General features: G+C 54.8%; 1 protein-coding gene across 5 annotated transcripts in view, besides 4 other annotated features; it reads left to right on the top strand.

The window, feature by feature from the left end:
- Positions 7,776-8,589: an enhancer, noted in NCBI's record as "H3K27ac hESC enhancer chr22:43045573-43046386 (GRCh37/hg19 assembly coordinates)". NCBI's record gives its function as "activates a minimal SCP1, AML or CMV promoter by ChIP-STARR-seq in naive H9 embryonic stem cells {active_cell/tissue: H9 hESC(naive)}" and the evidence as "EXISTENCE:reporter gene assay evidence [ECO:0000049][PMID:30033119]".
- Positions 8,284-8,383: a silencer, noted in NCBI's record as "silent region_13836". NCBI's record gives its function as "represses an Ori minimal core promoter by ATAC-STARR-seq in GM12878 lymphoblastoid cells {active_cell/tissue: GM12878}" and the evidence as "EXISTENCE:reporter gene assay evidence [ECO:0000049][PMID:35858748]".
- Positions 8,694-8,883: a silencer, noted in NCBI's record as "silent region_13835". NCBI's record gives its function as "represses an Ori minimal core promoter by ATAC-STARR-seq in GM12878 lymphoblastoid cells {active_cell/tissue: GM12878}" and the evidence as "EXISTENCE:reporter gene assay evidence [ECO:0000049][PMID:35858748]".
- The window catches only part of CYB5R3 (cytochrome b5 reductase 3), a 31,553-nt gene continuing 27,742 nt past the window's right edge, over positions 8,764-12,574 (top strand). Inside the window, exons 1-2 of one of the 5 annotated variants that reach the window (NM_001171661.1) lie at positions 11,167-11,270; positions 11,455-11,515. Coding sequence is in view for 1 of the 5 variants with exons in the window: in NM_000398.7 (NP_000389.1) it covers positions 8,841-8,861 (21 nt within the window). In the remaining 4 variants the exon portion in view is untranslated. Of the gene's footprint in view, positions 8,862-11,166; positions 11,516-12,574 lie in introns of those variants that run through there. The other 4 variants (XM_047441183.1, NM_000398.7, NM_007326.4 and 1 more) reach the window with 4 other exon arrangements.
- Positions 8,904-9,253: a silencer, noted in NCBI's record as "silent region_13834". NCBI's record gives its function as "represses an Ori minimal core promoter by ATAC-STARR-seq in GM12878 lymphoblastoid cells {active_cell/tissue: GM12878}" and the evidence as "EXISTENCE:reporter gene assay evidence [ECO:0000049][PMID:35858748]".

Genomic DNA, 12,574 nt, shown 5'->3' with positions numbered 1-12,574 from the left:
TAAATAAATAAATAAATAAAAATAAAAATAAAGGCATTTCCGTCTTGAAGACCCTTCTTAGCCAGGCTGGCAGGAAACATGACTTCAGTTCTAGAGGCTCAGGAGTTTCAAGGGGAAGGACAAGGTGGGACTGGTTCTTGGTCACTGGTCCTCCCAAGTTTCTGCAGGGCTGCCCATCTTCACAAATCAGCTTGGGACAGCTCACATTGAGCAGCTCCCCACTGTCCTCCCATCCCCCTGGATCCTAATAGCCCATATATACCGGGAAGACCCCTGCTGTCTTTCAGCATTACCCCACCCAGGAAACAAGTGCAGCAAAAATCTTTCCCTTGTTGCACAATAACCCATAGAGGTGGGAAGTGGAGCTTGAAACAGTGTGACTACGTCAGGCCCAGGGAACAGGGGGGCAGAGGGGGGCAGTTCCCCAGAGAGGGCATCTTTCTCTAATTGCAGAAAGGTATGCTACAGGCCAGTAGGAAACCATTCATCTCTGGTTTCCCAGTCTAGCCCTGGCACGCTGTTGACCCTCAGTTAATGATACCTCGTGTGTGTGTGTGTGTGTGTGTGTGTGTGTGTGTGTGTGTGTGTGTGGTTTTATTTATTTGAGTCATAACTACATCTCCCACGTGGCATGGTTGGGAAGGCCCCTGGACTCCAGGATCTATAGACCTCCCTTAGCCTCCCCCTAATTGCCCCAGTCCTGGTGAGACGGTCTTTTTGAAAATTGTAACAGTGAAGGCCGGGTGTGGTGGCTCATGCCTGTAATCCCAGCATTTTGGGAGGCTGAGGTGGGTGGATCACCTGAGGACAGGAGTTCGAGACCAGCCTGGCCAACATGGTGAAACCCGGTTGCTACTAAAAATAGAAAAATCTTGGCCGGGCGCGGTGGCTCACGCTTGTAATCCCAGCACTTTGGGAGGCCGAGGCGGGTGGATCACAAGGTCAAGAGATCGAGACCATCCTGGCTAACATGGTGAAACCCCGTCTCTACTAAAAAATACAAAAATTAGCTGGGCGTGGTGGCGGGCGCCTGTAGTCCCAGCTACTAGGGAGGCTGAGGCAGGATAATCGCTTGAACCTGGGAGGCGGAGGTTGCAGTGAGCCGAGATCGCGCCACTGCTCTCCAGCCTGGGCAACAGAGCGAAACTCCATCTCAAAAAAAAAAAAAAAAGAAAAGAAAAAAAGAAACTTTATGAATTTGTGTTGGGCTATATCCAAAGCCGTTCTGGGCCACCTGCGACCTGCAGGCCAAGGTTTGGACAAGCTTGGTTTAAATGATCGTAGCCTTTCCCCAGAACTGAACCACCTTTGTAAAGCAGACGAAAGACCCACCAGGTTAAGAGGATGAGGAGCCTGAATTTTGCTAACGTGTAGACATAAATCATTACCAGCCATCATTCCAGAGGCCACAAGATTTGCAACTCCCCCAGTTATTTCTGCAGATAACATCCCTACTGCAGAACCTAAGACTTGGCCTTTCAAGATGTCTTCTCAGGCTTTTGCGTTTCTTGTGACCGATGACTCCGCCCAGACCCTGACACCCACAGACTAGTTCCATGGCCACACTCAGAAGTTGACTCCCTGACCAGGCAATCCTTGAAAAACCCTCGCCTCTGAATTTTCAGAGAGATTGTTTTGAGTCGTAACTATACCTCCCACGTGGCGTGGTTGGTTTGGGATGGGTTCAAGCAATTCTCCTGCCTCAGCCTCCCGAGTAGCCAGGATTACAGGCATCCACCACTATGCCCAGCTATTTTTTTTGTATTTTTAGTAGAGACAGGGTTTCACCATATTGGCCAGGCTGGTCTCGAACTCCTGACCTTGTGATCACCCGCCTCAGCTTCCCAAAGTGCTGAGATTACAGGCATGTGCCACCGTGCCTGGCCTAAACTCTCTCTTTATTGCAATGCCCTACTCTCAGTGAATTGGTTTTGCCTGTTCAGTGGGCACCAAGAATCCACTGAGGGGTTATCTGGTCAGAGGTGGGAGCCCTTCTTCCTCCACATGTTCTCAAGGAGCTCTGCCCAGGCCAGGGAACTTTCTCTGGCTCACTCCTGGCAGGCTGCAGCTTTCTGCCCCACCACGCCATTTCCCTGGGGCAGCAAACACAGGGAAAGGGAAGCGGAAAATACAGGAGAAAACAGAGAGAACATCATGATCCTATCTCTCCACACAGGCAAAGCACCTGGCACCTGTCAGAAGCTCCGTGTAGCTCATCACAGGGCGCCGCCCTTCCTCCATCGTTTGCATAAAATCACAACAGCGTGTTAGGTCCTCAGAGCTCAGATGTCACCTCCCTTGATTTCACATCAGTGAAGAGCCTGGTGTTCCTCCCCACCGTTTTCAGCTTGGTGTCTGTCTCTGGGGACTGAGCCTCATTCATCTCTGGTTTCCCAGTCTAGCCCTGGGCACACTGTTGACCCTCAGTTAATGATACCTCGTGTGTGTGTGTGTGTGTGTGTGTGTGTGTGTGTGTGTGGTTTTATTTATTTATTTATTTATTTATGAGACAGAGTCTTGTTCAGTCTCCCAGGCTGGAGTGTAGTGGTGCTTTCAGCTCACTGCAACCTTTGCCTCCCAGGTTCAAGCCATTCTCCTGCCTCAGCCTCCGGAGTAGCTGGGACTACAGATGCACGCCACCATGCTCAGCTAATTTTTAGTAGAGACAGGGTTTCAGCATGTTTACCAGGCTGGTCTTGAACTCCTGACCTCAGGTGATCCACCCACCTCGGCCTCCCAAAGTGCTGGGATTACTGCCACCACACCCGTCCCTGTTTTTGTTTTGTTTTTTGTTGTGTTTTGTTTTGTTTTGTTTGAGACAGGGTCTTGCTCTGTCGTCCAGGATGGAGTGCAGTGGCTTGATCTCAGCTCACTGCAACCTCCACCTCCCAGGTTCAAGCGATTCTCCTACCTCAGCCTCCCGAGTAGCTGGGATTACAGGCATGCACCACCATGCCTGGCTAATTTTTTGTATTTTTAGTAGAGACTGAGTTTCTCCATGTTGGTCAGGCTGGTCTCGAACTCCGGACCTCAGGTGATCCACCCGCCTCGGCCTCCCAAAGTGCTGGCATTACAGGCCTGAGCCACTGCGCCCAGCCGTGCCCGGTGTTTTTATTCACTCAATCTGGCAACTTAGTTCCTGCACCTCTGACAGGGACTTAGGGGACTGCCTGAGTAATATAGCTCCAACCCAGGCCCAAAACTCTGCCCTTGCATCTGCCTAGGAGCCTCCTTCCCAAACTCCTCCTCTTAGCCATAGAAGGGCTGGAGCTCAGAGATTCCTGAGGGAGTTGCTCCACTACCCTCCTGATTCTCTGCTCTCTCTGGGCCTCATTTTCCTCCTCTAGAAAATGACTGTTTCTCTGCCCCGTCTACCTCCCAGCCTTTCCCAAGGATCAAACTCCTCAGCAGGATGGGTCAGAGATCCTCAGCTAACATGCCCAAAGTAAAAGGGGTTTGTAGGGAGTTTCTGAATCACAGCAGGACTTTGAGGGAATAGGACAAGGGTCTTTCTTTTTTTTTTTTTCTTCCCGAAGCAGTTTGTAAACCAGTTAAACCACTCAATGATAACTGACTCAGGCCAGGATCCTGGCTAGATGCAGAAACCATTATATGAAGTTTATTGGGGATCAGGGCATTCACAGGGTATCAAAGCAAAAGGTTATCTTACATCGGGGAGGCCTGGCAGGCGCCACCAACAATGGGACAAGCTGACATCACATACCTGTACCTCCCGATCCCATCGGTCTCCAGATTAAAGGAGACTAAAGAGACTTTCCAAGTAAATGCAATGCTTGACCTGGGATTAGAGCCTGAGTCAGAAAAAAAAAAGAATAGCTAGAAAGGACTTTATGGGGTAATTGGGAATATGGACAGATAATAGCATCGGGTCAATGTTAAGTTTCCTGAATTTGATAATCACACAATGTAGGAGAGCGACCCTGTTCTTGGGAGAAGTATGGGGAAGTGTTTAGGGGTGAAGGGTCAAGTGTCTGCAACTAATTGTCACATGGTTCACCAAAACCAAATAGAGAGATAGGGAGATAGAGAGAAAAGCAGGGAGAAAGAGAAAGAGCTGAAATGATAACCACTGGTGAATGTGATTGTTGTATTTATACTATTCTTGCAACTTCTCTGTACGTTAAATATTTTTCCCGAACAAAAGTCTGAGGGAGAATAAATATAAAATATCAGAAGCAGAAGGAGCTTTAAAGACCTCGAGGTCTGCCCACCCTCTCTCAGACAAGTGCCCTGAGAAGGAAAGGTCTTGGCCTGCGGTCACTCCATGAGCCGTAGCAGAGCTGGCCAGACCCAACCTTGCTAGCTGCAAACACGAGTCCCCAGCCCAGGGTCTGAGAGCTCCCAAGAACAGCAGGCGAGCCTCTAGTCAATGTCCTTCCTGTTTCGTCTCCCTGCTCCCCGGGGCTGCCTCACAGTCAGCACCTTGCAGGAGGTGAGCAGCCCCCATGAGCTTCAGGGGAGAAACCTACCCCTCCCTTTCCAAAGAAACTGGACCCCCAACTTCCCTCAACCTGCTCTGCTGACCACACTGGGGAGACATCCCTACCTCCCTGGGTGCAGGCAGGATTAGACCTCAGGGTAAAAAGGAGGGCTCAGAGCAAAAACGATATGTTATTTTATTTTATTTTTTTATTTTATTTTTTGAGACAGAGTCTCGCCCCGTTGCCCAGGCTGGAGTGCAGTGGTGCAATCTCGGCTCACGGCAACCTCCAACTCTCGGGTTCAAGCAATTCTCCTGCCTCAGCCTCCTGAGAAGCTGGGACTACAGGCGCCCTCCACCATGCCTGGCTAATTTTTGTATTTTTAGTAGAGACGGGGTTTCACCATGTTGGACCAGGCTGGTCTCGAACTCCTCAGGTGATCTGCCTGCCTTGGCCTCCCAAAGTGCTGGGATTACAGGTGTGAGCCACCAAGCTTGGCAGAAAAAAGGACATTTTAACAGTGTCCCCTGGAAAGCAGCAAGTTCTGGGGCCTCACTTGGCTGTTGCAAGCAGATCCAAACCCCAGAAAGGAAATGTGTTGGGAGCTGAGGCCCAGATCAATAAATGGGCAAAATAAACACCCTTGGCACAGTCCTGTGCCAGGGTTGGGGGCAGCCAGAGGACAGGATTGCTGGAACTGGGGACCAAGCCAGCTGGAGGGTATGGACAATGAGGGGTCTCCAGTGACCCCATCTTTTTTTTTTTTTGAGAGAGAGAGAGAAATATGCAACTGGACAATTTGTTAGCTTTTCTTTTCTTTTTTTTTTTTTTTTGAGATGGAGTCTCTCTCAGTGGCCCAGGCTGGAATGCAGTGGTGTAATCTCAGCTCACTGCAACCTCCGCCTTCCGGGTTCACGCCATTCTCCTGCCTCAGCCTCCCGAGTAGCTGGGACTACAGGCATCCACCACTATGCCCGGCTAATTTTTTTTGTATTTTTAGTAGAGACGGGGTTTCACCGTGTTAGCCAGGATGGTCTTGATCTCCTGAACTCATGATCCACCCGCCTCGGCCTCCCAAAGTGCTGGGATTACAGGCGTGAGCCACCGTGCCCGGCTAGCTTTTCTTTTCCTTTTTTTTTTTTTTGAGTCTCAAACTCCTGACCTCAGGTGATCCATTCACCTCAGCCTCTCAAAGTGCTGGGATTACAGGCGTGAGCCACTGCGCCTGGCCTGTGTGTTTTTCTTTTCCTCTTTTTGTTAGTTTTTCAATTAAAAAAAGACACCTAACCCATGTAGTGTCATCTTTCTACAACCAGTGTTCCCATGGGGGTAAAACTATTCAGATTACTTGCACGTAAAAAATAATTTAACCTTTAGCATGAAAATATGTGGCAAAACCCAGAAAGATCCATCATGAATCCAAGATACTTTCAGCAAAAAGTTATACCAAAATAAATAAAATAAAATTGAAATAATGCTTAGCTGATCCCAAGTCAAGATTTACGTTTGTATTCTATGGCAGTAGGTCCCTCCCTCCACACTGCCCCCAGAGTTCCCTCTTTAAAACCAGTAGGTGAGCTGGGCACCGTGGCTCACGCCTGTAATCCTAGCACTTTGGGAAGCAGAGGCGAGTGGATCATGAGGTCATGAAATCGAGACCATTCTGGCCAACATGGTGAAACCCCGTCTCTACTAAAAATACAAAAACTAGTTGGACATGCTGGGCGTGGTGGCTCACGCCTATAATCCCAGCACTTTGGGAGGCCGAGGCAGGCAGATCACCTGAGGTCAGGAGTTCGAGAACAGCCTGACCAACATGGAGAAACCCTGTCTCTCCTAAAAATACAAAATTAGCTGGGTGTGGTGGCGCATGCCTGTAATCCTCGCTACTCGGGAGGCTAAGGTAGGAGAATCACTTGAACCTGAGAGGCGGAGGTTGCGGCGAGCCGAGATCGCACCATTGCACTCCAGCCTGGGCAACAAGAACGAAACTCCGTCTCAAAAAATATAATAATAATAATAATAATTAGCTGGGCATGGTGGCACGCACCTGTAGTCCCAGCCACTAGGGAAGCTGAGGCAGGAGAATCGCTTGAACCCCGGAGGTTGCAGTGAGCCGCGATTGCAGTGAGCCTGGCAACAGAGCAAGACTCCGTCTCAAAAAAGAAAAACCAACCAACCAACCAAACAAACAAAAAAAACAGTAGGTCAGGTGGGTGGGTAGGCAGACGGGCATGGTGGCTCATGCCTGTAATCCCAGTGCTCCGGGAGGCTGTGGTGGGAGGATGGCTTGAGCTGCAGTGAGCTGTGACTGCATCACTACACTCCAGCCTGGGCATCAGAGCGAGATCTCTTCTCTGGGTAAATAAACCCAGTGAGTCACTCCCTCAGCTACCTAGATCCTGCAGGGCTCCCCATTCTCCTTGACATTCCAGTTCTTTCCACCCGGGGCTCCACATTGCCTCCCCAACGTCACATCACACCCCAGCTCGGCTGTATCAGCCCCTCTAACCTTGCCCATCAGGCCTCTGTTCACCTGTCTCCACCTCCAGGCCCTGCCAGCAAGGCGCTTCTCCCTTTCTCTGCCTGGTCTGTGCCACGTTGCCTGAACACACAGCCCACCCCATCCCCTCAGAGCACCAGGAGCTCACATCTGGGTCCAAGACCCTACCAGGAGAGCAAGGCAAGAGAATGACGCTAAGGCCCAGCATGAGCCTACACAGAGAAGGTGCCCACTGTCTGTCAAATTCATCCATTCAACAAGTATTTAGGCTGCTCATCGTGGCTCACGCTTATAATCCCAGCACTTTGGGAGGCCAAGGTGGGAGGATGGCTTGAACCCAGGAGTTCCGGACCAGCCTGGGCAACATAGTGAAACCCGTCTCTACAAAAAAATGCAAAAATGGCCGGGCGCGGTAGTTCCCACCTGTAATCCCGGCACTTTGGGAAGCCGAGGCAGGTGGATCACCTGAGGTCGGAAGTTCGAGACCAGCCTCACCAACATGTTGAAACACCGTCTCTACTAAAAATACAAAATTAGGCCGGGCGCGGTGGCTCACGCCTGTAATCCCAGCACTTTGGGAGGCCGAGGCGGGCGGATCACGAGGTCAGGAGATCGAGACCATCCTCGCTAACACGGTGAAACCCCGTCCCTACTGAAAATACAAAAAATTAGCCGGGCGCGGTGGGGTGCCTGTAGTGCCAGCTACTCGGGAGGCTGAGAATGGCGTGAACCCTGGAGGCGGAGCTTGCATTGAGCCGAAATGGCGCCACTGCATTCCAGCCTGGGGGACAGGGCGAGACTCTGTCTCAAAAAAAAAAAAAAAAAAAAAAAAAAAAAGATTAGCTGGTTAGCCAGATGTGGTGGCACATGCCTGTAATTTCGGGAGGCTGAGGCAGGAGGATCTGTTGAACCCTGGAGGCGGAGTTTGCGGTGAGCCGAGATCGCGTCAATGCATACCAGCCTGGGCAACAAGAGCGAAACTGCGTCTCAAAAAAAAAAACAATTAGCCGGACGTGGTGGCATGTGCCCAGCTACTCAGGAGGTTGAGGCAGGAGGAACACTTGAGCCTGGGAGGTTGAGGCTAAAGTGAGCTGTGATCAGGCTCCTGCATTCCAGTCTGGGCAAGAGTGAGACCCTGCTTTACCAAAAAAAAAAAAAAAAAAAAAGGTATTTATTGAGCACCTACTATATGCTAGGCTCTGTGTGGCTAGGCTCTGGGGATGTACGGGACTTCAAACCAGATAGGGCCTTGCCCTCCGGGAGCGCACAGTCCACTGGGATGGGGTGGGAGTGGGGGAAACACGCAGGAGGCCTTCAGCTAAGTGGGACAAAGATCACTCCACAGTGGGACAATGGCGTGGGGAGCGGAGGCGCCGCCGGCGAGGAGGCTCCGGGCGGGCCGTGCTGAGACCGCAGCATTTAACCCGGCCCGAGGCAGCTGGGAACAGTGCTGCCCAGGGAACTACAAATTCAAAGGCCCGGGGAAGGGCCGCGCTGAGCAGCTGCAGGCACAGGCCCAGGCCAGGCCAGGCAGGACCGGCCCCTGCAGTCTCGGAGGCCGGGGGAAGATTCCGCCTCTTATTCTCGCTCCCATCCGGGGGGCGCCATCTTGCTTCCTTTATGGCGGCGAACGAGGCCCAGAGAGGCCACCGTCCCGCGCGGGGCAGCACAGCGGCGGGAGAGCTCGGAGCGCAGAGGGCCGCATCCCCAGTTCCCAGTCTCCATCCCCGGCAGAAGCAGGCGGAGCGACCCGGTCCCCGCCCCCGCGCCCGCCCCGCCCCGCGCGCCCGCCTGGCCCCTCGGCCCCGCCCCTGCTCCGGAGTGACGCGGGCCCGGGCGCGACGGTCTCGGCGGCGGCGGCGGCGGCGACAGAGCGAGCGCGGCGCGGGGCCACCATGGGGGCCCAGCTCAGCACGGTAGGCGGGGAGGGGGCGCCGGGGCCGCGGGGCGTCGCGAGGGACTGGGACCCGGCGGCGAGGGGGCGGGCTGGCCTGCGGGAGGTGACGCGGGACCCGGGCCGCACCCGGCCGCACCCACTTCGCCCGCCCAGCCCGCCGCGCCCCACCCCACCCCACAAGGGCCTGGGCGAGCTACGTGGTGACCGCTACTTACGCCCTGGCAGTCTGCAGCGGGGACCCAGCCCTCCTGCCCGGGGGGCGCGCCAGAGCCCAGCACCCGGGGGCACCTGGGCCCTGCCCTGGCCGCCGTGGGGCCTTGGCTGCTGGAGGGACCCGTGGTTGTGAGCGTGTGTGCCGCTGAGTGTGAGTGTGTGAGCGAGCGTGTGAATGGCTTGAGAGTGAATGTGTGTGTGAGTGTGACCGTGGGTGTGAAGGGCGGGCATGGAAACGTGTGATGGGGTGTGTGTGTGTGTACGGGAGTATGTGAATGGGCGATGTCACTGACTGCGACTGAACGTGTGTGTGTGTGCGATGTCACTATGTCAGAGGGTTTTGCACGTTTAGCAACAAGGAACAGAACCCGGATGACACGGGGGCATCCTCCCAATGCTCAGTGGGCCAGGCTCCCATCAAGGCCAGGCTCCCACTGACCCTGCAAGCTGTGCTGGGGACCTCACACTTTGCGGTGTCAGTGCTGTTTGCCCCATTTCACAGATGGGGAAATGCAAACTAGTCTTGGCCACCGTCCCACAACGCTGCCGCCGGAAGGAGCCTGCTCCATGGGGTTTCAAAGTCCACTCTGCTGCTGTCACTCCTGGGCTGGCCTAGAGCCACCTTCCCTTCCCCCCAGGCCACCTCCTCTCCCCAGTTTCTCAAAAGTTGACCATGGTGAGGCTGGAGGCTTGAGTCTGTGTGGACATGTGGAGGCTGCGGCTGCAGAGGGCAGCTCTCCTGTCAACTGTGACCCGCTAGGCGTGGGGAGGCTGGCACAGGAGGAATCAGCCCAGTGCTCCTCCACCTCCACCTCTACCTCTATGCCTGGCATCTGCCACTTGGAGGGCACCTGGGTCCTCCCTCCTTGGGGAGGACCTGGAGTCTCCTCCTTGGGGATCCAGGCAAAAGGCCTCTTGGCTTGGGTGGTTGCTAAGGAAAGTGTGGCCCAACCCAGAACTTCGGGATGTTCAGACCCCAGGCAACCTTGGCCAGGGTGAACCTGTGGGCATCACCCCAACCTCCATGCAACACCCGGCCCATTTTTCCCCAGAAAGCATCTGCCTCCTTTATTGTTGAAATGTCCTGCCTGTGTCTCTAAAGCTTCCCCTGGTCTCCACCCAACCCTTCCCTGCTGTTTTTGGTGGTGTTCCATACCTTCCAGCTGGTGGTTGGATTTATGGCCACGTCCCCTGCACCTGGCTGCTCCATACATTTCTTTTTTCTTTTTTCTTTTTTGAGAAGAGTCTCTCACCCAGACAGTAGTGCAGTGGCGCGATCATAGCTCACTGCAGCCTCAACCTCTTGGGCACAAGTGATCCTTCTACCTCAGTGTCCTGAGTACAGGCACGTGCCAATATGCCTGGCTAAGTTTTTTTTTTTTGAGATGGAGTCTCTCTCTGTCACCCAGGTTGGAGTGCAGTGGCATGATCTCAGCTCACTGCAACCTCCACTTCCTGGGCTCCAGCAATTCTCCTGCCTCAGCCTCCCAAGTAGCTGGGATTACAGGCACTCGCCATCACACCTGGGCTTCGCCATCTTGGCCAAGCTGGTCCCGAACTCCTGACCTCAGATGATCCACCTGCCTCAGCCTCCCAAAGTGCTGGGATTACAGGAGTGAGCCACTGTGCCTGGCCTAATTTTTTGTATTTTTAATGGAGACAATGTCTTGCTATGTTGCCCAGGCTGGCCACAAACTGAGCTCAAGTGATCCTCCCATCCCAGCTCCTCAAAGTGCTGGGATTACAGGTGTGAACGCCGTTCTTGGCCTCATTCCATATATTTCTGTTGAATGGCTGAGCAGTCCTCTGTAAGGGGCAGAGCACTGCCTGGGAGTCGGGAGACCTCCACCAACCCTCCCCCGCCCAGCCCCATCTCTCCAAGGGTGGGTGGGGATTACCCTTTGTGGGTGCTGCTGGGATCCTCGCTTGGCCCAGAATGTCTCCAGCACATTCTGAGCCAGGCCTCCTGGCTTACGGGCTCCCCACAGTCTGGAGGAGGCTGGCTGGGGGCCTGGTGCTCTAGGTGTCTTATCTAAGACATGCAGGCCCCATGGGAGGCCTCTCCCAACACTTTGTGGGATCCAGGCCAGGGGTTGGCCCTGGAGTCTGCCAGCCACACTGGGAAAACATTGGAGCTTGGTCTGCCATCCTGAACTGTGGTTCCCCTGCCTCCCAGCCCGGCTGTGAGTGCTCAGCGACCCTGACAGGCTGACAGGTACAGTCTGCCGGGCTTTCCTACTGTCCCTGGCAGCCCCATGCTTACTCTGCGGCCCAGATCCCAGCTCTGTGTCCACCTGTTCCTTCTCCTGGGTTCCCTTCCCCCACAGTTCCCAGCCAAGCCAGAGCCCCCCACTGCAGAACTTCCTCCACTCCCTCCCACTTCCTCCCGGTTAGAACAGGACCAGGAGGGAGGTGCCGCTCAGATTCTGGCAGGACCGCTGGCGGGCAGGCAGGGGACAGGTAAGCAAGTCACCCGACTGGCTTGTCTAAGCTCCAGGGCAGGGAGCTGGCACCTGGGGAGGACCGGGCCTGCCAGGTCGGGGGCCCTGGCAGCTCTCTCTGCCCACCCCTAACCTGGCCTGGGCAGAGTGGAGGCCAGGGTCCCAGTGGGGAATTCCAGGGGTGGGCAGCTGCGCAGGGCATTCTATGTGTGGGGAGCAGAGCTACGCAGCCCCTCAGCTATGGTGCATGAGCTGGGGGCTCCCTGGGACTCTGGCACCCTGTGTCCCTCTTCCCCTCTGTGTTATTAGAGGCAAGGAGAGGCGGGTGATGGGTTCCCTGGTGGGGCAGAGCATGGCTTGTGGGCATTAGGTCAGGGGCTGGGAGGCAGCTGTCTCCTGGGCCCCCAGGTGGCTGGGGTGAGGTGGTCTGTGTGTGTGAGTGTGTGTGTGAGTGTGCACGCAGCACAGGTGAGGAGGCACAGGGGTGGGACCTTGGCCTCAGCCACCTGCCTTCTGTTTACTTGGCCCACTGCTGGTGAGGGTTGGGGTGGTGCTGTGGACGAGGACGGGGCAGAGCCTGTTCCAACCCGTGTGGGTAGGAAGAGAGTGCACCCCACCGTGTGAGTCTGGCAGGGCCTCTGGCTTTCTGGAGGTGAAACCTTCGCCCCTCCACTGCTCCTGGCTGTGGTGCGCCCTCTCTGCCGGTGTCTGTCTCCCCGTCTGGCTTGAACTCGGGCGGGGCCTCCTGGCCTGTGTCCCCTGCGTTGCACATGGGACCTGCCACCTCAGTGCCCACTGGGGTTTGTGGACTAAACGACTGACCGACGGTGATGGTCTGCCTGTGGCTGCCTCCCCAGATAAGAACTTTTACCTATAAAAAGCCCACCCCTTCTCTTTAGTGGCCAGAAAGTGTCCCCGGGCTCAAGTCTGTCCCCTGAGGCTTGGTTTCCTCACCTGAAGTGGGAGGAGTCATGAACAGGCTTGAGGACTGAATGAGGTGGCGTGAGCAGAGGCTGCCCGCCTGGCTCCGGGCAGCCCCTGTTGTTGGGAGCAGACACTGGAAGGAAGGTCCTTGACT

This window comes from Homo sapiens, chromosome 22 (assembly GCF_000001405.40).
Source record: "Homo sapiens chromosome 22, GRCh38.p14 Primary Assembly".
NCBI classification, from domain to species: Eukaryota; Metazoa; Chordata; class Mammalia; order Primates; family Hominidae; genus Homo; species Homo sapiens.
Note: the sequence above shows the minus strand (reverse complement) of the source record. Positions and strands in the feature narration are given on the sequence as shown.